The sequence below is a fragment of the Homo sapiens genome, chromosome 8 (genome assembly GCF_000001405.40).
Source record: "Homo sapiens chromosome 8, GRCh38.p14 Primary Assembly".
NCBI lineage: Eukaryota > Metazoa > Chordata > Mammalia > Primates > Hominidae > Homo > Homo sapiens.
This window is the reverse complement of record NC_000008.11, coordinates 133,343,649-133,367,532: the sequence shown is the minus strand read 5'-3', so window position 1 is coordinate 133,367,532 and position 23,884 is coordinate 133,343,649. Positions and strand designations below refer to the sequence as shown.

General features: G+C 46.4%; 2 long non-coding RNA genes across 5 annotated transcripts in view; one reads left to right on the top strand and one right to left on the bottom strand.

Annotated features, from left to right (window-relative positions):
• The window catches only part of LOC105375771 (uncharacterized), a 32,914-nt gene extending 10,136 nt beyond the window's left edge, over positions 1–22,778 (top strand). Inside the window, exons 2-3 of one of the 2 annotated variants that reach the window (XR_001746096.2) lie at positions 9,612–9,881; positions 22,182–22,778. This is a non-coding gene — a long non-coding RNA (uncharacterized LOC105375771). Of the gene's footprint in view, positions 1–2,893; positions 3,008–4,106; positions 4,361–9,611; positions 9,882–22,181 lie in introns of those variants that run through there. The other variant, XR_007061117.1, reaches the window with a different exon arrangement.
• Positions 1,575–8,376, bottom strand: LOC105375772 (uncharacterized). Of its 3 annotated transcripts, XR_928672.4 has the most exons (4): positions 8,164–8,376; positions 7,525–7,996; positions 7,205–7,304; positions 1,575–6,217 (listed from the first exon to the last, which is right to left on the bottom strand). It is a non-coding gene; the product is annotated as an uncharacterized LOC105375772 (long non-coding RNA). The 3 variants fall into 3 exon arrangements; XR_928671.3 differs by having other exon boundaries at positions 7,205–7,996; XR_928673.3 differs by having other exon boundaries at positions 6,009–6,217; positions 7,205–7,885; positions 8,164–8,361.
• Positions 22,779–23,884: the final 1,106 nt, after the last annotated feature.

Sequence of the window (23,884 nt, the reverse complement as noted above, 5' to 3'; positions counted from 1 at the left end):
AACTGAAACCTCCCTTCAACCTGACTCACCAGATCTCCCTTAGTCTGCTTTATTTTTCTTCTGAACTAACTTCCAACTAACAAGCTGTTTAGTTCCTTATTTCTTGTGTTGCCTGGCTCCCCCTGTTAGAATGTGTGCTCCCTAAGGACAGGGTCTTTGCCACTTTGTTCCCCCATAACTGTTCAATGGCTCTGCACAGTTATACACAATACATACCAAAAACAGTTTATGCCACATTTTATCAAAACACACTTGGCTAAATCCTGGAGCAGCACTGGTGTTGTGAAAGGTCCCACACCATGTGAGCACTTGGAAACTTAGGGAACAGGCTCTTGTCTCCTTTTCACACCCACTGGGGGCACACTCTCATGGAGGGAAGGAAGAGCAAGCAAAACCACCCACATAATTCAAGTGGCAAGTGTGGATTATTTTCTCTCCTTTTCTTCTATAGAGCAGGTGTTGTTTAGGTTATTTTAATGCGTGTACACTGTGTCTTCACTCTACATATGCAGATGAAAATATAGATAAAAACTTTATATGCCCAGACATTGTACCCATCCAGCCTTCTTCCTTGGAGATTTCCTTTGCTCCCAGCTTCCCTGGGTTCTTCAGTGGTAATTGTCTCCCAGGCCTGCTGGGAGGGCCAAGCTTGATGTTGATGATAGAACTGGAGCTCCCCAATCACATGCATCACCTGGCAGCTTGTTAAAAATGCAGCTGCCCAGGGCCTACCCCCTAAACATTCCGGTTTTGTATTTCTGGGGTGGAGCCTGGGAATCTGAATTTTGGACACACATTCTAGGTGCTATTTCAGAGCAGTAGACTTTGGGAGGCTGGGTGTTCTCTCATGAACTCTAAATGTGCTAGGCGATGCTTGCATTCATTTTCTAGAGCTGCTGTAAGAAACTACTACAAACTGTGTGGCTTAAAACTGCAGAAATGTATTCTCTCACAGTTCTGGAGGCTAGAAGTTTAGAAATCAATTTCACTGTGCCAAAATCAAGATGGCTTCAGGGCTGTGCTCCCTGCAGAGGGTCTAGGGCAGAATCTGTTCCTGGCCTCTTGCAGCTTCTTGTGGCTGCTGGCACTTTATGGCATGTGGCCGCATCACTCTGATCCCCATATCTGTGGTCACATTGCCTTTTCTTCTCTGCCAAATCCCCTTTGCATTATAAGGACACTTATGATGACAATTAGGGCTCACTTGAATAATCCAGAATGATCTCTCCATCACAAAATTCTTAGCTTGGCCACATCTGCAAAATCCCTTTTGCCATATAAAGTATCATTCACATGTTTAAGGGCTTAAGACCCAGATGATCTTGCGGGCCATTACTTGGCCTAACACAACCCTTTTCCCCATTCCTCAGGAAGAACAATGGCTCAGAGAAGCTAAGTGACTTTCCCAAGGCCACACAGCTATTCAGAGACCCAGTTTGAATTCACCTTCATCTACACCACAATCAATTCAAATGTGACTGAATTTATAACCCCAAGGTATTTTTGTGCAAGATTTCAAAGATTATGCAAGCTGTGTATAGCAATGGAATAATTCACAATAAAGGCTGATAAAGTTAAGGCATTATCAGAAAATAAAATATATTTTCATTTTCAATAAAAGAATATGAACACCAAAAGTAATTACCCACCCACCCTCAAACAAAAATAATCATCATTACAAAGGGACTAATGCTTCCTACCCTTGGACAAAGTGAAGGATCACATTCAGACCAGTGTGCATGTAGCTGACTCTTGAGAAAGAGATGACTATCTCCAGGGTTCACGCTTCACCCAATTCTTGCAGAGCCATGTGAAGTTAGAGCTAATTTCAGTAATCACCCCATCTTAATAATAAGATGTCCTACAATCTTTGGCAGTGACTCAGAGAAGCAGCCAAAAAAATAATAATAATAGTAATAAAAATAAAAAGAGAAAGAAAAAAAGCAGAAAGCTTATATACTAGCACCACTGACTGCCCACCCCAATCAGCTCTACCTTCAAGAAAGTAAAAAAAGGTTAGATAGCCCCCTCCATAATACTGAAGAAGGCTAAGGATTTCTGTGCCCACTTAAGACCATCCATGGTATTCATTTTAACTTGATTTTGTCTATATAAAAATGCTGAGGGACAGATGTGTTGGTGGCATGCATGGTTTTCTGACCCTGGCAGTCTCTAGGGCATATGGTAGCTAACTTGAGCATGTATCTTCTATGTTCCAGAACCTACTATAATATCTCACAAAAGCTACAATGGTTTTAGCTATAAGAAACAGCATATACATACAACAACCAGACTAAATGATGAAGGGAATTTGTTCGTGTAAGATCTGAAAATCTTGGCAGTTAGAAAGGGCTTCAGGAAAGGCTTGATTCAGCATCTCCATGGCTATCAACAAGGCCCAGTTTCTTCCATGTCTCCATCCTTCCCTCCACTGTGTTGGCTTCATCCACAGGCTCATTCCCCTCTGATCACAAAGTGGCTGCCAGCTGCAATCTGGGCTGCATTCTTCATCTTTCACAACCAGTGGGGGTGAAGAATCGTCGTCATCTGGGGTAATACCCAAGGTTCGTTCCCTCGTGCCAAGGAAATCAAGGATGTGGACACACAAGGAGTGAGGTTAAGAGCAGAGGTTTAATAAGTGAAAGAAAGAGAAAAGTTCTCTCTCCTGCAGAGAGAGAGGGGCTCCTGAGTGGGTCTTCCAGTCTGTGGCAAAGTGCAAGAGGTTTTACAGATGAGCTTGAGGAGATGGTGTCTGATTTACATAGGATACAAAGGATTGGTTGGAGCAGGTATGCCATTTGCATAGTGAGGGAAGAACTGGTTTGGACTAGGTGTGCCGTTTGCATAGCTTGCGAGGAAGCTGGCTGCCTCACCCTAATCTTTTATTATGCAGTTGGGTTCTCTACCTGGCTGACGCCATGTTGCCTGCTTCTTCACTGTGCATGTGGAGCCTGAGGGGAATGTTTCAAGGAAGAGGGGACAAGCAAGTCAGCATCTGGAGGAATGGGTATGTGAACAGGGATGCAGGGAATCAAAGAATGATTCTGTCTTATCCCAATAAAGGGTCATTTGGGGTATTAACCTATAAACACAGACTATTAAATGGATGCATATACATACATAAATAAATACAGAAAACCCACTATAATTAAGGGCATACAGCCTTTGTAGAGGGAAGTTAAATTACAGCTCCAGATAACCACCAAAGAATATCTTTTGTTTCCCCCCTTCTTTTTGACATTGCTGTTTAAACCTATCTTCCTTCCCCTCCCACTACAGAGAAACTTGCTGTGGATTGCATCTTCACAGTACACTTGGTGATCAATTATCAAAGAGTTGACACCTGAGGGCCAGTAGGACGGAGGCTCCATTTCGGAGGCAGTGTGGCAAGCACTTGTGGATGCTGAGTGTTTATGTCAGGCCCAGTTTTTGTGCACCCAATACTCAACATTTCAATGCATACCTTTGCACACCTCCTGTTCACTATGGCTCAACTTTCAGCTCACTGGCCAATAGCCGAAACCTAATACTTTAAGGGAAAAGAACTAAACCTGGGCAATGAGTGGGGGCTTTACAAAATTCCTGATGCTTCAACCCTACCACAAACAAATTAAATTGGTTTTTCCGGCAAAAAGCCTGGAACATCAGTATTAAGAGCCTCCCCTATCTTCATCCTCACCCCTCCAGTGATTCTGCTGAAAAGTTAGAATTGAGAATAATGGATATAATTCTAGAAGGTTTGCAGAGAATTTTGATGGGGTAAAATAATTGTCCACAAGGAAATATCTGTATCTCTTCAATAAAAAAAGGAGGGAGGCAAGGCGATGGAGTAGGACATCTTAGAGAGAATGGCTACACAAAACTTACTCTAAAAGAATGAAGTAAAAGAGGATAGATTGCATTCATTAAGTGGCTGGGGTTCAGCTGAATACAAGACTGCCAAGAATAAAGATGACACATCCCAACCTCTATTGCAGCCAGCTGAGGCCACAGGATGGTTTTAGTCTGTGGTTTGTGAGCAGAAGTGAGGTGCACAGCTTCCAGGGTGAGCCCTAAAAGGGAAGGGATGTCCTCTTCACACTCCTTTCCTGTTTCTCTCCTCACAGAGGCAGCACTGTGTTGCATGGCTCCAGAGAACACCACTCTCTTTGTGTTCTATGCAACATGCCCACGAGTTATGCATTGCAGCACCTGGCCATAAATCATCACCAACCCTATGGATGAAGCAACACCCCAGGGAGGGTGGAGAAGTACAGGGGAAGGAGCCAGGGCCCCCATGAAACAAACATTTCTTCCAGGAATTTCCCAAGCCCAGACCATTGCATGAAAAGAGAAATAAAATACTCTTTTGTTTCCATCACATTGTTTTTGGTCTCAGTTGGAGCAGCAGACCCTATATTGCAACAAACAGACTCAATCACCCTCATTATTAGGAAAGTCAGCTCTGCAGCAATTCTTCCCTTAAACACCACAGGGTGTTTTGGGCGTTAAAGGAAAAACCTTAGAAAAACTAAATGTAACAGAATTTAATTGAGTGAAAAATGGTTCTTGAATTGGGCAATCCCCAAAACAGAATAGGTTCAGAGATGCTTCCAGGCTACCGCGTGGTCGAGGATGATTTATGGGCAGAAAAAAGAGAGTGACATATGGAAAACAGAAGTAAGGAACAGAAACAGCTGGATGGGTTCTAGCTTGGCGTTTGCCTTCTTTGAACATGGTTTGAAGAGTTGGCTGTCTGTGATTGGCTGAAACCCAGAGATTGGTACTAGAGTTGGTTATAGCCTGTTTACACATCCAGTTAGGTGATAGTTCACTATGTATGAAGAAACATTTAAACCAAACTGAATTTAACATGGATAAGACAAGGTCTTTCGTTAAAGGGCCATGAGAGTGAAGGCAACTTTCACCTCCAGAGCCCCTGCCTTCTGTGCCTGGATGCCCAGAGGGTCATCAGCCTGTGTCATCACGTGGAATGTCATCCATCCTCCTCTGAGAGCCTCAGCAGGGTAAAGATATGGCAAAACCCAGACTGTTGTATTCATCGCTGTATACCTAGAGTCCATCACTGTACTAGCACACAGTAGGGCTCAGAGGTGCTGCTTGCTCAGTAAAGGACTGAATGAACACATTGATGGCTATAGCCAGTGAGTGATGCACCAGATGGGTGCTCACATTCCTCCATGCTTTGGCTCCATCCAACCTATCTGCTTCCTCTACAATGTCTTCTTCCCATGTGGACCAACAGCAGCAACAGCACCTGGGGACTTGTTAGAATGCAAACTCATAGGCTGCTCTCCAGACTGCCCAAGTTGGGAACTCTGGTGCTGGCGCGGGGTGCAGTAGTCTGTGTTTTAATGCACCCACCAGGCGATTCCAATGCTGACTCGAGTTTGAGAGCCGCTGCTCGCCATGAGTGTTTCACAAATTGCATAGCACAGCCATTCCTTTGTTGTTCCCTCTACCTGGGATGCCTTTCTCCCTATCTCTGTCAGTAGCAGACTCACTCATGTTTGGGGGACTCTGAACACGCCACCTCCTCCAGAAAGTATCCCCAGATCCCCACAGTCTGGAGGAATAACTCCCTGGGGATACTCACAGGCTGTGCTTGTCTCTTCAATCCCTGGTTTATTCAGGCCAGAGCTTCCTGCCTCCCCAACTGGGATGTGAGCTCCTTTCTGCAGTACCAGGTTTTCTTCAACTCCCCAGCCCCTGGCTCCATCGAGCCAAACTTACATTGGTATTCAATAAATGCTGTTGGTTTGGTTTTTTTGTTTTTTTTTTTTTTTTTTTGAGACGGAGTCTCGCTCTGTTGCCCAGCCTGGAGTGCAGTGGTGCAATCTCCGCTCACTGCAAGCTCTGCCTCCCGTGTTCATGCCATTCTCCTGCCTCAGCCTCCCGAGTAGCTGGGACCACAGGCACCTGCCACCACCCAGCTAATTTTTTGTATTTTTAGTAGAGACAGGATTTCACTGTGTTAGCCAGGATGGTCTCGATCTCCTGACCTCGTGATCCACCCGCCTCAGCCTCCCAAAGTGCTGGGATTACAGGCATGAGCCAACATGCCTGGCCTGCTGTTGGTTAGAATAATACCACAGAGCATCAGTCTAGTCCACTCCTAGATATAGACTCACAAAGAAGAAAGCCAGGTGGCACAGTGATTTCTGTCACATTCTCAGGAGCGACCTCTTACGAACGCATGTCTCTTCAAAGTGCATTTCTGAAAAAGAAACAGATAAAATTGCTCCTAACAGTGAGGAAAGGAAAAAGATTAACATAAATCAAGCATTGCCCATCTGTCAGCACTGTCTTTGCTTTTTTCTATCTTATTATTCCTCACCACTCAGGTGGATATGTGTAATTATTCCTCTTGAAGACAGTAATACTGAGTGATGATAAGTGACTTGCCTGATGTCACACAGCCCAAACCCAGGCACCTGTCACTGCAATGTTCTTCCAACATGCCAGTCCACATAAAAGGGATGGATACAGTAAGATGAGGAAAAAAAGAGCTTTTGGGAGGCTGAGGCGGGTGGATCACGAGGTCAGGAGATCGAGACCATCCTGGCAAACACGGTGAAACCCTGTCTCTATTAAAAATACAAAAAATTAGCCAGGCATGGTGGCGGGCACCTGTATTCCCAGCTACTCGGGAGGCTGAGGCAAGAGAATGGCGTGAACCCAGGAGGCGGAGCTTGCAGTGAGCCAAGATCGCGCCACTGCACTCCAGCCTGGGAGATAGCAAGACTACATCTCAGGAAAAAAAAAAAAAAAAGCTTTGCAGGAATTGACTTTTTCTACCCTTGTTTATGTCATCCCCAAACTACCATCTCTTTTACAAAGGGGCAGTTTCAGCCAATGGGAGGCATCATATGCAGCCATTGCTGGCTAACAGAAATGTTTGTCATTCCATAGGCTGTTTACTGGGTCGGGCCTCATCGGGTTAGACTCCAACTCGGTTTAAAAGTGAGAGTCACAAAACAAGTGCTGGTGAACAGTCTGTTACTCATTTGGCATTAAGTAAACTCTAGCAACATTATAAACAGTCCAGGGGCAGACAGCCCAGGGGGAAAGGACATGGACCCAGGCAATGCCTGCCCTGAGTCTGCATTTCTGAATTCTTATGTAAACACTCCAAGTTCATGGGCTGTGCTGTGTCATGAACTAAATGGTCAAATCTAGCATTTACACATGTCTGCCGACTCACCTGGGTTGAAAATCCACTCGCAATGCAGTTCTTGTGTTTGGAACTTCAGTTTTCTGATCAGGTAGCTGTGATGACAGTAACAGGATCTACCTCTGGGTGGCTGTGAGGATTTGGGATATGCATTAATGTACCCGTTCCACTGCCTGCCCTGGGGCAAACTCAGTGAATCTTCACTGCTGATGTCTATCTAGTACCCAATCTGAGCTAGGGTTTTTACACGTGCTGCTTCCAAATTCTCATAGCAAAACCATTACTGAAGTGCGATTCCTGAGGCTCAGGGAGAGAACACAGACAGAGGCAAAGCTGGCAGGTAAACGCACCTCTTCTGACTTCATGCCACTGCTCTTTCTCTTTCAGGCAAGGTCTTCAGGCCAGTGAGGGTTGGTGTCATTTGTGGGACAGAAGAGCCCAAATCAAGCTGAGTTGAGGCAATAAATATGCTCTCCTGCTTCCAGATCAAAGTCCTTATTTAAAATGCATATGCCATGTGTAGTAAGGCAAAGCCTGCCACCTCCAATGCTTCTCCTGTTCCCCCAGCAGTGCTGTGAGAGAGGTGGCAGATGTGGCATGGTGGCCCGCATACACATTTGCAAGCTTGAGTTCTGATGTCAGCTCTGCTCCTTATCTTCTGTATATCCTTAGGCAAATGTCTGCACCTCTGAGTTTCCACTGTTTCCTCCCCTACAAAATGGGCAGAAGAAGAACTAAGCTTCCTTGTTCGGAGGATCCACAGGTGCAGAGCAAGGCAAAGTAGACACTCAGTAATGGTGGCCAATTATCCCCCAATTCATGCTAGGGAGGGAAAAGAAAAGCAGAGATGTTAAGTGCCTTACCCAAGGATATTGGCTTAGTGAGAGGTGGGACTAGAACTAAACCCTGGAACTGGTCCATGATAAAGCCTCAACTCCAATGTCCCCAATCTCACCATCTGCCAATGCTCCCACCCCCATTACACCAACCTCTGCCTTTAGGGAGTTGCCAGTCTCCTAAAGAGAATAGAAGTAGCTCACAGATGGTTGAAGTACAAGTGGAATCAAAGCACCTGCAAAAAAGGCACAAGCTAAAAGATGTGAGAGGTCTTAGGAGGGAATAATCCTAGTTTGGAGAAAGGTTCTAAGCTTCCAGGAGGAGGTGGTGCAAGTGTTGGCTCTTGAATGAGCAAGGTTGGAAGTGCAGGAATGCTGGCCTGGCATGTGGGAGCCTGCCAGGGGCTGGGCATTGGGACGGCCCTGGGGCAGGCCTTGGAGAGTTTGGCAAGGCTGCACTGGGAACAAAATGTGTGCTTCTCTCTGGATTCTTCCACCTCCCACCTCCCTCCTGGGGAGTGACCCAAACCCTCACCTTCCATCCTGTGCTGAGTCCTAGTGCCCTGAGTTGGGAGAGAAACCAGTATCCACTGTGCAGTTCCTTGCCAGGGACACTGCTAGGTCTCCAACATAGAAACAAACCTCTGCACAGTAAAGATCAGATCGGCAAAGGGAGTTGCTTGAAGTCACAAGGATGGAAGGGAAAGAAGCCGGGATTCCAGCTCCATTATCTCTGGTTCCCAAACCCAGCATCTTTCCATTAAAATGTGCTACCTTGAAAGCCCAAGGAAGTCTTTGTATTTGGAGAAAAATAAAGCCTTGGGGCGGAATAGTAGGGCCTCCTTAAATAATGGCACAGTAGGATTATTAATTGCTTAGTAGCAAACATCTATGGAGTGTTTATTATATGCCAGGTACTCTTCTAAGGGCTTTTGATATTTTAACTTAATTCCTCACTGCTGCTGCTGTGCCCTATAAGGGAGGCACTATTATTATAATCAGCTTCTATTTCACACTAGGAAATTGACACACACAGTTTAAGTAGCTTGTCTAAGGGCATATGGTTAATAGGCTTTAAAGATTGGATTTGAGTCCAGGCAGCTGGGATCCAGCTTACAGCTCTAACTAGAATAATGTGCGAGGTTGGTCAGGCTGTGCACTGCACAAGGGCACCTGGCCATGGGGGCACAGAGAAGCTGAAATCCAGCTGGGATTCTGCTCCCTGGGGCTGCTTGGAGGAAGAGGCACCACTGTGTAACTTACACACAAGAACTGCCAAGCCACGACTAGCCTCCTGGAAATGCCAGCTGCTGACTGCACCGTGGCTTTTGCTGATAGCATGATTGATTTTTTTTTTCCTTTTTAGATCATGACCTTCCCAAAGCCATCTAAGAGTACAGATAAAAATGCACAGTGCATGAAAACTGTGAAATGGGATCCCGCCACCAGCCATGGTGGGGAGGAGCCTTTAAACACCACCCGGCTCTGACATTCTTTCTTTAGGTGATGAAAATGAGCCCTGGAAGTCTTTGCATGGGGCGCTGGGCAGGTATGCCAGGGCATGCAGGTGCACACCACTGACCCAGCCATCCCTTTTCTAGGAATCAGTCTTCATGCAACTCTCAGCAACCTCTACTGAGATCTCTGTTGAAGCATTGTTTGCAAGAGCAGATAATCAGAAACCACCCAAAAAATCATAAAGAAGACATTGGGCAAATCAACAATGGTATGCTGAGATTTGGATTGCCAAATTGACCTTGAAGTGAAGGAGGCAGATTTGCTTGTAATAACAATGAAAGCGATACAAGATCTTCTATTTGAAGTGCAGAATGTCCCATTCACCATGAGACGCTGGTAAATAATGTTTTCATGTAAGTATATATATTTAATCATTAGGTTGAAGGCAGCAAAGAGTGTGGTTAAGTCCAAGTGTTATGGAATAAGACTGCTTGGGTGCATACCTTGGCTCCTACACTAGCCAGGTGAGGATGGGGGAGTGACTGGACTAATTTTTTTTTTTTTTTGAGACAGGGTCTTGCTCTGTTGTCCAGGCTGGAGTGAAGTGGCACAATCACGGCTCACAACAGCCTCAAACTGCTGGGGTCAAGCAATCCTCCCACTTTAGCCTCCTGAGCAGCTGGGACTACAGTCATGCACCACCATACCTGGCTAATTTTTATTTTTTTCTGTAGAGATGGTGTCTCTCACTATGTTACCCAGGCTGGTCTTGAACTCTTGGTCTCAAGTAATCCTTCCGCCTCAGCCTCCCAAAATGCTGGGATTACAAGCCTGAGCCACCATGCCCAGCCATGTTTGACTTCTTCCCTCTCAGGATTAAGGGCTTGGAGGGAGCCTGATATCCCGGGTTTGAGTCTTGGTTTGCTATTTCCTTCCTACGTGATCTGGACCAAGTGACTCATTCTGAGTGTGTCTCAATTTCTCTGCGTGTAAGCTGGACACGCAGATGGTACTTACCTTAGTGAGCAGTTGCATGCTGCCTTCTTAGGAGGTCTGGGGCACGGTAAGCCCCCAGGAGTGTTAGTTATGCTGAAGCCTGCAAGAAAATGCTGAAGAAATGCACACAGCCAACATTGGTTATCTCTGAGGAATGTTTACTGTTGGACTCACACATTTCATAGCATTTAAGATTTCTGAAAGTAGGAATAAGTGAGTCTTGCAATTAGGAAAAATAATCACGAATTACAAAAGAATACCTTTGCAAAAGGCCCTCTTGGAGAGGTAACTATGTCCTTCTAGCACATTCCCTAGAATAAAGGGCCAGTGCACTCAAGCAGCCCGGAGGCCACCCCTCTGCGTCACCATCTCTACCCTACAGTGCGCTGGGCTTTCCGCTGTCACTGTTCTTACCCCTGGGGGCTGTCCCTTGATAGGTCAGCCTCTCCCACAGTCCTGGGAGCTGTCCAAGGACAGGGATTATAGCTAATTGATCCTCTCTGCATCTCTTGGGCCTGGTGCAGTGATTGGTATACAGTAGTAGGTGCCTAATGAAGGTTTGCTGAGTACTTGAGGGATTACTGAAGGAAGTTACTTGTGTAGCCTGACAATAAACACCCTCCCTTCTGACTCCTCAGGAATGCTCTTGGCACCCGTTCCCAAGTCAGGCCCTAAAAATGAACACTGTGTTAATGACACAACAAAACAAGACATTCCAGACTCAGCCTCGGGCGGCTGACTCTTGGGGCTGCCATGCCTTTGGCCAGCAGCTGCAGAGGCTGTCCTCAGGGAGGGGACCTCCAGCCCTTCCAGTCCAGAGCCACAGCCTCCCGGGACAGGCAGCAGACCATGAAAATGAGGAGTGCAGCCGTGGCCACAGATTCACTTTGTATATTAACAGGAAGAGTTTTCCTTTCCATACATGCATCAGTGTGCCCTCCCCCAAAACAAACAAACAAACAAACAAACAAGCAAAGATAAAAGAAAGAAAAGAGGAGGGACAGAGGGTGGGACATTAGAGGGAGGGAGGAATGGAGGGAGAGAAAGGAAGAGAAAGGAATAAAGAGAGAGAAAAAAAGAAAGGAGAAGGAAAGAACAAGGGAGGGAGAGAGGGATCAAGGAAGGAAGGAAGGAAGGAATGGAGGGAGGGAGGGAGGGACATGTACCTTTTGTAGACAGACCCTCTATCTGACTCCCCCTGACATTACTTTAGAGAGATTAAATAATGAGAATTATTCCTCTTTTGTAAAAAACACCAGGACAAGCTTGTGGGCCATATGATGCCTGCGAGTTCAAAATTCCTGAAGCTCTTTTCCATTTTACAGATGAGTAAACCGAGGGGCTACAGTTTGCCCAAGGTCATTGGGAGTGAGTAAGTGTCCAGCAGAGAGATTTCTGATTTCCCAGTCCAGACCCTTCCCTCTGCTCTGGCCCCTTGAGGCCAAGGGTATGAACATCCCAGAGGCAGGATCTCTCATGGGAGGAGCCCGGCCTACCTGCCTCCTTCAGATCCCCAATCCCACCTCTTCCCAGGAGCCCACTGTCATCATGGGAGTCCACATGGCCTTTTTAACAGATGCTGCTAAATACAGTGCTTCCAGCCCCAGGAGGGAGATTAGGGGTGAGAAACTCAGGTTACTGCAGAGATAGTGGGGTCAGGGAAGACTGGGGCTTCTCTGAAATTGTAGGTCAAGGGCAGGGATACTGATGCTGATGTCAGCATCGGAGCCAGACCAATGCGAGTGGGAATTTCAGTTCTTTTTCTTCTCAGCTGGGTGAGTTTTGACAAGTTATAGAACCAGTCTGGGCCTCAGTATACTGAGGTCTAAAATGGGCTAACACACAAGGCTGTATGCAAAGTCAACTTAATATAAATGAGGCCCTAGCTCCAAGTAGGTACTCCTTGGCACGTGGCTTTTGTAGGAGAAAATTGAGTTCTGTGGGTTTAGGAGGTGAGTCAGCATTTGGTTGTGGGTCAGTACAAGGAGAAGTTCCACCCTTCATGTCAAGACAAAGGTCAGCTCAGGCCTTATATACTCAGCTACCCAGATGAGCAGGGGAAGGAGAGGGGGGTTTGGGGTGAGGGGTTTAGGCTACAGTTCTTTCTAAGAACATATGCCCAGGAAACAAGGCCTCTGGTCTTGCCTGTACCTCAATTAGCTGTGTGACTTTGGAAAAGTCACCCAACCTCTTTGAAACCCAGTTTGCAGAACCATAGCAGGGAAAATAGCATCTCACAGGCTGCTTGTGTAGAGTAACTGGTTGTGTACAACGCTAGTGCGTAGGGAGCCCATAACAAATGTGACTCCCTCCATCGGCCCAGTTCCACTGAGTATTAGCTGAGAGGAAGCCCCTTCCAGGGCCTCACTTTCTCCCTGCCTGGATTCCTGTTTGTGTCCAAGTAATGTTTCCCAAATGGTAGTTTTTTGTGTACCACAATTATGATTTTTGACATAATCCAAGTGCACTTTGTAAAACTCATTCCTCTATATTTTTGAAAATTTAATGGATCCCTTTGTATAAATTGAAATATAAAAATTAAAGGATAACCAGTGTATAGCTGTTCTGAGTGGAGAAGCAGTTTGGCTGGTCATAAATCAAAGGCCTGGGTAAAAATAAACACAATCAAAAGCAAACAAGATATTAACTTCCAGCTAGGTCTAGCTGCTGCGGGAGGTGCCCAGCCCAGAGGCTGCTCTTTCCTGGTTAAAAGGAGAGCAGAGGAGGTGTTAGCATCTGCCCTGGTGCGAAACTGAGGCCTGCTCCTCGATGTAACTAGAAGGATGCAAGGAACTAGGATGAAATTTTGTCTGCTGTGGCTTGATTTTATTTAACACCTTATGCATGTGCCTCAAAAATGATGTTGGGGAACCCCAACTGCATCCTCCTAAGGCCCCTCTCTGGGATATGCAGGCCTTGGTGGTCTTGTTGGTCATTTCCTGTGTAAAAGGTGAGTGGGTCTGGAAGGGCCTCTTATGGGGTGGGGGGAAGGGAAGGCAGAGTGGAATGGAAGACATAAGGGGTGTGTGGTTGGTAAGGTGGGGTAGGGACCACCTAGAGTTCAGCCCCTTCCCTAGTATGTCCCAGTTGGCAGAGAGTTTCCTCTCAGCAGAAGCCCGTGGGCCAAGCAGAGCCTGATCCCCATCCAGTCTGTTCTGGGCGGCCATGATGCTTGGCTGAGGGCGGCAGGAAGTGAGTGGGCGTCAGGCGGAAGTGGTTCTGAAGGGCTGTAGGGTGGTGTCGATGACAGCCATAACTCACGGTAACAAGAGTGGGACAGAAGCACTGAGATGCTGGTCACATGAAGAGTGTGCTCAGGGAGGAGATGACTAGGACCCCAGCAAAGATAATAACCACAACCAATGATCCAGCCAATGCCTTCAGTGGTGGCATAGGCATGGTCCAGGAAATAAAACTGTGAGATCCACCATATCTGTTTTTCCCCATCCTAAAGCTTGCAAGAAGCCTCCCACACAAAGTTTAAGTAACTTTTATTTTCTCACAAATAGATTTTGATGTTAAAATTGTTGCCCTTTATTGGGTCCTGACCGTTGTATGAGCTCATCTTGTTTATTCTTCACGGCAGCCTGTGATTCGATTATGATTATGCTTACCTTATGTCTGAGGAAAGCAGGACCCCAAGAGGTGATGTGACCAGCCAGGATCACACAGTGTCTAAGAGCCAGGGCTGGGATTCAAACCTCCAGGCCAGGCATGGTGGCTCACGCCTAGAATCCCAGCACTTTGGGAAGCTGAGGTGGGAGGATTGCTTGAACCCAGGGGCTCAAGACCAGCCTTGGCAGCATGGAGAAAACCCGACTCTACATAAAATAGAAAAATTAGCTGGGTTCAGTGGTGCACACCTGTAGTCCCAGCTATTCGAGAGGCTGAGTTGGGAGGATAGCTTGACTTCCGGAGGTTGAGGCTGTAGCCTGGACAACACAGCAAGACCCTGTCTCAAAAAAAAAAAAAAAAAAAAAAGCAAATACAAATCTCCAAATCTCTGACTCCATGGTATCCTGCCACAGGACAGGAATACAACAGGGGGCTCCCATACCCGAAGGGACAGGTGTGATGTGGACTTGCTTTGGTGACTCAGAGAGATAAAACTGAGAAATAAGGGTGGACATTGCTGAAAATCTAACAGAGCATCAAGGTGTTGGAATGGACTCCCTGGGAGGCACGGGAGATACCCCTACAGGGAGTGGATCACCCCCAACGTGGATGTCGGGCCCAGTGTCTGGCCTGGGGGGCATATATCAGATGCTCAGCATCACTACCCATGAATGCGCCTCCACGGAACACCTTCCACACATTACTTCCCCGTCTGCCAGTGAGCTGTGCCTCCTGATTCAGATTTTACAGACATCTCAGCAGGACCCCAGAGACATGAAATCACCTCCCCAAAGTCACCTCACCACCATGAGGCTGAGCAAGATTTGAATCCAGTTTTCCTTTATGTCTTCTGTCTCTCAAATCCTCCATCCATCCACTTGTCAGCAGGACTGTCATTTCTATCTCTAAACTTACCCCGCTCCAGCCACTTCTCCCCACCTTCCCCAACCTGCCCTGGTCTGGCTACCATCATCTGTCCACTGGGCCACTCCAAGGGCCTCTTCTTTGTTTCAACCCTTAACCCCCTGGAAGCTGAATCACCACACAACAGCCATGGGGATCTTTTTCAAAAGCAAATCTGGTACTTTATCTTTTGGCTGAAAGGCTTCTGCTGGTCTCGCAGCAACTTGGAATAAGGTCCAAACTCCCTGGGGCTCTGCAAAGCCTTCCAAGGCCCTGCCTGTTATGGGATAAACTGTGTCTCCCAGAAACTCCTATGTTGAAGTCCTAAACCCCAGGACCTCAGAATGTGACTGCATTTAGAGAGAGAGTCTTTAAAGAGGTAATTAAGATAAAATAAGGCTGCTAGTGTGGGACCTAATTCAATATGACTGTTGTCCTTATAAGAAGAGACTGGGACACACACAAACAGAGGGAAGACCCCATCAAGGCACAGGGAGAAGATGGCAAGCCAAAGAGACAGGTCTCAGAAGAAACCAGTCCTGCTGACACCTTGGACTCAGACTTCCAGCCTCCAGGACTGTGAGAAAGTAAGTGTCTGTTGCTTAAGCCCCCAGTCTGTGGTACTTTGTTACAGCAACCTGAGTGGACTAACACACTGCCCTGAGACTTTCCCTTTGGTCTCTGCTCCAGCTACACACTGGCCTCCTCCAAGTTCCTAGTACTGACTATGAACACTCCTGCCATGAGGCCTTTGCATGGGCTGAACCCTCTACCTACCTTACCCTCCTGTACACAAACAGAAAGATAACTCTGGAAGCAGGATGTGGAATGCATTAAGAGAGAAAGTTAAATAGATTTAATAAATATTCCCTTAGCACCCGCCTTAGGCCAGGCACTGAACCAGCTCCAGAGTTGCAGAGAGAGATGAAGAGGTTCCTGAGCCCCTGAGGAGTGTGCTCAGGACCCAGGGAGGAGACAGACTGATATTGACAATAGAGTGGGAGGGGTGGGATGGAGATTTTGCAGTTGGGTGAAGAACCAAAGACGCACAAGGTATAACCCAGTCTTGGGGAGTGCAATGGACTGAATGTGCCTCCTCCAGATTTGTAGGTTAAAGCCTGAATCTCAATGTGACGGTGTTTGGAGGCGAGGCGTTTGAGAGGCAATTAGGATTAGAGGAGGCCATGAGGCTGGGACCCTTGTGATGTAACTGTCCTTTTAAGAAGAGGAAGAGACACAAAATCTCTGTCTCCTTCATGTGAGGACACAGCAAGAAAGTGGCCACATGCAAACTGAGACGCGAGCCCTCATCAGACACCAGATCTGCCAGTGCCTTGATCTTGGACTTCCCAGCCCCCAAACTTGTGAGAAATGAGTGCCTGTTCTTTAAGCCACCCAGTCTGTGGTATTTGTTTATGGCAGCCCGGGCAGACTAAGCTGGGGAGGATAAAGCCCACAACTGGCTGTCAGGAGACTGAGTTTACATCCCTATTCTGCTATGGTGACACTAGGCAAGGGTTTCCCTTCTCTGGGCCTCAGTTTCCCCATCTGTAAAGAAGAGACAATAAACCTTCCCTCTAAGCGTTTATGCCCTGATTGTAGAAGATTTCTTCACCTCAGCTGTTCAGTGCTGAGGGTCTGGAGAAGTTTTCTTTCCAGCAAAAGATGGATCCTGCACTTTTCAGGCTTGCAGCTGCTTGGAGACACCCCCAGACCACAGTGGTAGGGGACAGGGAGGCAGATTCAGGCAGAAATCTCACACAGCACTTTTTCCAAGTACCTGGGGTCATCGCTAGGGCTGAGTCGTGCAGGTCTGGGGAAGCATGGGACCTACCCGTCCCCTCCCTGGTTAAATATTTGCCAGCTTTGGCCCCGTCTCCAGAGGAGTTCGACCAACCAGCCTAGCGAATCCATCTGGATATGGCCTTGTGCGCACGAGGGCTTAGGGCTTAGGTAGCACCTTTGTTATTTGAGCTTTTATTTAACTAGAAGAGAAAAAAAGCAGATACTGGTTCTTTCCCTCCCATATCCCCCACCTCACTGCCCAGCTGACCTTGGCTCCTCTCAGGCCCAAGGTTGACCAGGGCTGGCCAGGCAGCCCCTGCAGAGGAAAGAGCAGCAGTTTTTTGCTTGTTTGTTTGTTTTGTTTTTGAGACAGAGTCTTGCTTTGTAACCCAGGCTGGGGTGCAGTGGCGCAACCTTGGCTCACTGCAACCTCCGCCTCCCAGGTTCAAATGATTCTCATGCCTCAGCCTTCCATGTGTCAGGTGTGTGCCACCACACCACACCCGACTAATTTTTTGCATTTTTAGTAGATACAGGGTTTCACCATGTTGGTCAGGCTGGCCTCAGACTCCTGGCCTTAAGTTATCCACCTGCCTCAGCCTCCCAAAGTGCTGGGATTTCAGGCATGAGCCAGCACACCCAGCCAAGAACAGCAGGTTCTCATGCAGAGAATGCTGGGTCAAAATTCTTGCTCTGCCCCTGGGTTCATGCATCTTTGACAATTCCCTTCACTTCTCTGGGCATTGCCCCACCCTGAGCTAATGGAGGCTCCAGGCGAGAGCCCTTAGGTCTCAATCCTCCCCCTCTGCCCTACCATATCTCACCCTTTCCCCTGCTCTGCCATGCTAACTGCAGCTCTGATGGGCTGCTCTTCCCCTTCTCAGCTTTTGAGTTTCTGTCTTAGTTGCATCTGCCCCTTCCTGATTGTCTGATGGTAGTGGCTGGACTCAGCATCAGGCATCTGGGTGCAGATCCCATCTGCATCATTTTCTTGTTAGGAAAAATTACCCCACCTCTGTCAACCTTGATACTCTGTCTGTAAAATGAGGGCTGAGAATTAAATCTTGTTGGAGTTCTTAGGAGAATAAAGATGATGGTGTATATGCTGTATTTTCATGAGCAGGAACCTAAAGACCAGCACTTCTATTAATTAGACCATCCTGTCCCCCTGCCCCCTTCCTTCCCTTCCCTCACACTAGGTTGGTTAAGATGCTGACCCCTTATTCCCCCAGTGCCATACCTGGCTCTGCAAAGCACACACCACTGTGGGCATTTAGCGTCATGCTTGTTTGTGTTTGGCCAGAAGTGTCTAGAGGGCAGAGACCAGGTCTCACTTATTTTCCAACCCCCAGGTCAGCAAGCACTTGATCAGAGCATTTCTTGAGTGAGTGAATGCATGGGTGAATGAATAAATGAATTGCCAATGACCTTTTCTGCCCTGTGAGGAAATGCTCTTGGTCTTCACCAATCAATAGTGATCTATGTCCCAGTTTCTAAGTCGTGCCCTAGAAAACGATTGCCGGGCTTCAAATGCACGATATAGTGTTGAGTAGACTGGATGTTGGCAGGGTAGGGAAGGGAGGTCACAGAGGTGGTGTGGGCCAGCCTTGGCACCCTGGATGCTTCCCGTGGTGGGAGAGGAACATCACACACACATGTCTTTTCACACCCACATGTCTTTTCTTTCTGCCCACCCTACTAGTGGACTTATGGCACTTCCAGCCAGAGTTGGCCCTGTCCCTTGGAGAGGTTCCTTAAATTACATCTGAGGGCCACCCCGCATATGTTTGTGTGAATCACAAGACCTAGAGTTCAGATCCCATGAGAGAGAATACTATACCTAGGCCACCGACCCACTTTGAAGCTCAGCTCTGGAATGGGCCAGCACCCTGTAGTACCACAAGGTCGACTGGCATCTTCTTAAGGAGCTTAATAAAATTCTAAATTACTAAAATAATAAGAGGATTCCAGGAGATTATATCTAAAAGCACAAACAGCATCACAGAAGTTTCCAATCAGATTTGTTTTTCTATTTACTCTTTCCACTTGAATTTGTACAACCCATATTTCCCAAGGGTCTACTAGGAGCCAGGCACTGAGCTGTGCTCTGAAGATACACAGCCCAGTGAGACTCAGCCCCTTGGTGGCCAAGATACCTCTTAGGGGAGAGGGGGATGCTGCTGAGGCCAGCCCAGAGAGAAGAGCTGCCCTGGGGCTCCTGCCCTGAGTCTTCTGAGTTACTGGGTCCCCCTTGGGGCCAAGCTCTGGGCCATGAGCTACAGCTTTTGTCTCCTGAGTTCCCACAGTTACTTCACAAGGTTGAGAGCAAATGAATCTTCTCCATGAGGAAAATGAGGCTCAGAGAGGTTAAATAACACACCCAGCTTCACACAGCAAACCCATGGCTAAGTCACCAGGAGCTCAGATCCTGGCCAGTTTAACTCCAAATTCCATGTTCTTAACCCCAATATATGTGGCCCAGAGAGGACAGAAGTGTTGAGTGAGGGAGGGGTCATTTATTGGTCCTCTCAGGTCTGGAGAAAATTTCACAAGAAAGTGGGGCAGAGGGCAGGAATCTTATACCATTCCCAGTCCATACAACATTCTGAGTATGTTGGTGTTTCTGTTGACATTTTTTGGAGGACAGTTTGGTGTGGGAGTTTGACATAAGACAGTTTTTGGTCTGAGCGTCTGCTCTGCCATTTTCTAATAGGATGACCTTGGACAGGTGACTTAATCTGTTCTAACCTCACCTTCTTCACCTGTAATGTTTAATGATAAGGATTCCTAAACGCTGGGAATGTGTCACAGATTAACTGCTATATTAGTTTGCTTGTGCTGCCGTAAGACATAACACAGACCTAAACAACAGAAATTTGTTTATTTTCTCACAATTCTGGAGGCTGGAAGTCCAAAATGAAGGCTTTGGCAGGGTGACCTTCTTCTGAGGCCTCTCATCGTGGCTTGCAGATGGGCTGCTGATAAAGACATACCTGAGACTGGGCAATTTACAAAAGAAAGAGGTTTAATGGACTTATAGTTCCACATGGCTGGGGAGGCCTCACAATCATGGCGGAAGGCAAGGAGGAGCAAGTCACATTTTACATGGATGGTGACAGGCAAAGAGAGCTTGTGCAGGCAAACTCCCCTTTTTAAAACCATGAGATCTCATGAGATTTATTCACTGTCACAAGAACAGCGCAGGAAAAACTCGCCTCCATGATTCAATTACCTCCCACCAGGTCCCTGCCCCAACACATGGGAATTCAAGATGAGGTTTGGGTGAGGACACAGCCAAACCATATCAGATGGCCTTGGACAGGTGACTTAATCTGTTCTAACCTCACCTCCTTCACCTGTAATATTTAATGATAAGGATTCCTACATACTGGGTGTACATTAAGGATTATCAGCTATATTAGTTTGCTTGTGCTGCCGTGAGAAAGTACCACAGAACTAAACAACAGAAATTTATTTATTTTCTCACAATTCTGGGGGCTGGACTTTGAAATGAAGGCTTTGGCAGGGTGACTTTCTTCTGAGGCCTCTCATCGTGGCTTGCAGATGGGCTGCTGATAAAGACATACCACAGGCCAGAGCTGGCTCTGAAAATGACCATGTCCGAGCCCAGCTGGAAACCAACTGCAAGTGGTTGAGGAGGCGGCAGACGATTCTAGAGGAGACATGCTTCAAGACTTCTGGCTTCTCTCCACCAGGACAAAAATACAAAACAATCAAGCTGCAGGCTGGAGACATGCCTCCAGGTTAAAAGAGACTTACAGTGCATCACGCACAGAATGTACTGTATGAATCTTTCTTGGATCTCACCTTGATATCTAACCATGATAGTTAACTTCTGACAGTTAACACAAATCTTAATCTGTAGAATTCTTACACAATGTAAGTGTTTTGGTTTTTTAATGGTAGTTTGGTGTGTAACAAACTACCCCGAACTAGTGGCTTGAAATGACAGTTGTTTTACTTATTTGCTCTTGATTCTACAATTTGGACAGGGAGTGGCACCTCAGGTGGCTAAGGGAGGCTGGGGGACCCTCCTCTGAGATGGCTCACACACGTGGCTGGCTGGGAGTTCAGGCAAGGCTATTGACTGGGACGTCAGCATTCTCCCTCGTGGTTTCTCCATGTGGCTGCTTGGGACTTCTCACAGTCTGGGGGTGTGAAGGTAGCTGGGCTTGGTATATGGCTGCTGGCTTCCAACAGAGCAAAGGCAGATGCTACCAGGCTTTCTGAAGGCTTAGCCCTGAAACTGTCCCAATGTTACATCTGCCACTTTCTGTCAGTTAGAGTGGGTCACCCAAGCAGCCTGGCCAGATTCAAGGGGGAATGGAACAAGGGCACACACACCAGGGGACGTGGTTCATTGGAAACCCCACAGTGACATTCTGCCAGGAAAGAACTAAGGCAAAATCCCAGTGGAAAAATGGGCCATGGAAATGAACAAATAATTCACATAAGAAATACAAATGGCAACACGCATGTAAAAGTATGCTCGACAGAACTAATAATTGGGGAAACACATGTCTACATTTCACATTTTTCCCTGCTCAAGGATGGAACAAGGTATGGCAAAGATTCAGAGGTCCCTGTTGGAGTGAAAATATCTGCAAATCTTCTAGAGGAAAAAATCAATCATATATATATCAAAAACTTCTAAAAACAGTGAATGTTTTGATTCAGCAATTTGTCATTTAGGACTTTCTAGAGCTATTTCATAGGAAAATACTCGGAAAAGTACACAGCATTGTTTATAATAGTAAAGGATTGAAAGGAAGTTAACCAGCCATTAATAGAAAGTGGATTAAATGAATTGTTTCATTGATTTGGTGGAATATAATGCAGGAAATATCTTAATCAATTGGGCTTTTAAGCCACTGACCTTGCTTCAGAAAATATTTGCCAACCCTTCCCAACTCTTATCATCCAGGTTTGAGCACCCAGATATTCATTTACCCATTCATTTCAGACATGTATTTAGTGCCACGTGAGAGCAGTAATTGTGTATGATATTGTCCCTGTCTCTGAAGTATTTTCACCGTGGTTGGCAAAAGTATTTAAAAACATTAATTATTAAGTAAACACAAAGCAAATAGAACAGTTGAATGCACATTGACTGACAACACCATCTCTTTCATCCAGAAGTCACCAGCAAGGTCCAAAATGAATAAAAGAGTACCTAATGCTAGGGAGGATGAAGGCTAAGAAGCCCTGGAGTTGAGAATATTAATTGGCATGTCATCCTTGTCTTCCAATAGAAGCTTGGCCAAATAAACTATTATACATACGTAAAAAGGAACTCCATAACTCTGAACAGAAAATGGTGTGGAACGATCTCCATGATATTGTTAAAAGAAACGAAAAGATTTCTTTTTATTTTATTTCTTTTATTTGAACAGTTTGTGCAGCATGCCTCCAGTTGTGTAAAGAATGTAAAAGGGAAATGTCTCAAAACAGAAGAAGACGCCTGTGGGCAGCACCTTCTGCAGAGTGATCCTGGGAGCTGGAAAGAAGACTCACTTTTCATTTTACAACCTTGGGCACTGTAAGGATATTTTGGGCTTGGTATGTGTGTTTTGTTGTTGTTGTTTTTTGTTTGTTTTATTATACTTTAAGTTTTAGGGTACATGTACACAACGTGCTGGTTAGTTACATATGTATACATGTGCCATGTTGGTGTGCTGCACCCATTAACTCATCATTTAACATTAGGTATATCTCCTAATGCTATCCCTCCCCCTCCCCCCACCCCACAACAGGCCCCGGTGTGTGATGTTCCCCTTCCTGTGTCCATGTGTTCTCATTGTTCAATTCCCACCTATGAGTGAGAACATGCGGTGTTTGGTTTTTTGTCCTTGAGATAGTTTGCTGAGAATGATGGTTTCCAGCTTCATCCATGTCCCTACAAAGGACATGAACTCATCATTTTTTATGGCTGCATAGTATTCCATGGTGTATGGTATGTGTGTTTTATAAAAATAACTTAATGAAACATTTTTAATGTCTCAGAGATAGTGTGTTCATGACAGTTCACCTCACTAGCATCTTCTGAATCCACTCATTTATTCATCCATTTGTCCATTGATTCAGCATTTTGGTGGCAGTCATTTTAGGAAGGAAGATATGAAAGCAGAGAAGACAAGGCCCCCACTTCCAGGACAGGATCCTCAGAGTCTAAGGGGGAAGGCCATGGGAGCAGGTGCTGAGAGGAGGAGGGTCTCCCCAGAGCTGAGGAGGGCTCAAGAGGCAGTGACTGACCTCACCTAGCTGCATGTGTGCAGTGGGGGCATGGCTGGGCAGCAGGGAGGGTCCAAGAAAAGGGGCTATCTAAGCTGGGCTTTGAAAGGCACATGAAGTTGGGTCAGATGAGGAAGGCCAGGCAGGAACCTTGGCATCCACTAGAGCAAACAATTAATGTTTCCAACTCAACCGACCTATTTGGCAGGAATGAGAAATTCATGAGCCAAAGGGGAGAGAGAAGGAAGGAGGCATTCAGACTGGGAGACTATGAGAGAGATTTTATGGTTTTTCATGGAAGAAATCACACCTCGTTTTATTATTTTTGATTTTTATTACGTTTACAAAAAAAAATCTGTACCCATCTTCAGTCACATGGCAACCAAAGACCCTGCTGCTCAGAGCAGTGAACTTTGTCTCTCCTCTTCCAGAGTAGCTCATGATATTACAGGGTCCAGTCCAGGGCTGCCGGGAGGACAATGCAGTTTCTCTTAGACACTGAAATACATTTCAATGACACAGCAGCAGGCCACTGAGAGCTTCTGGTAGGGCTTCTCAAACTTCTGTCATTCAAGGTCCCAGTTAATATAGGGCACTTGTAATCATAGCTGGATTCCTGGAGGTGTGAACTTGGGCAAGTCACTTTCTCTCTCTGAAAATCCAACATCCCCAACTTTCAGGATTGACACAAAGACTAATGTGACATTGTCCTACATCAATTGCCCATCATCATCTTATATCTCAAATGCCTTACATTTATCCTCTACGTGTCTGGGCAATATTCCCTGCCCAAGGACTTGTTGATAGCAGCCACCCAGGCTGCCCTCTGATCTCCCTTTTCTCTTCTTCCTCCTATAGTATCTTT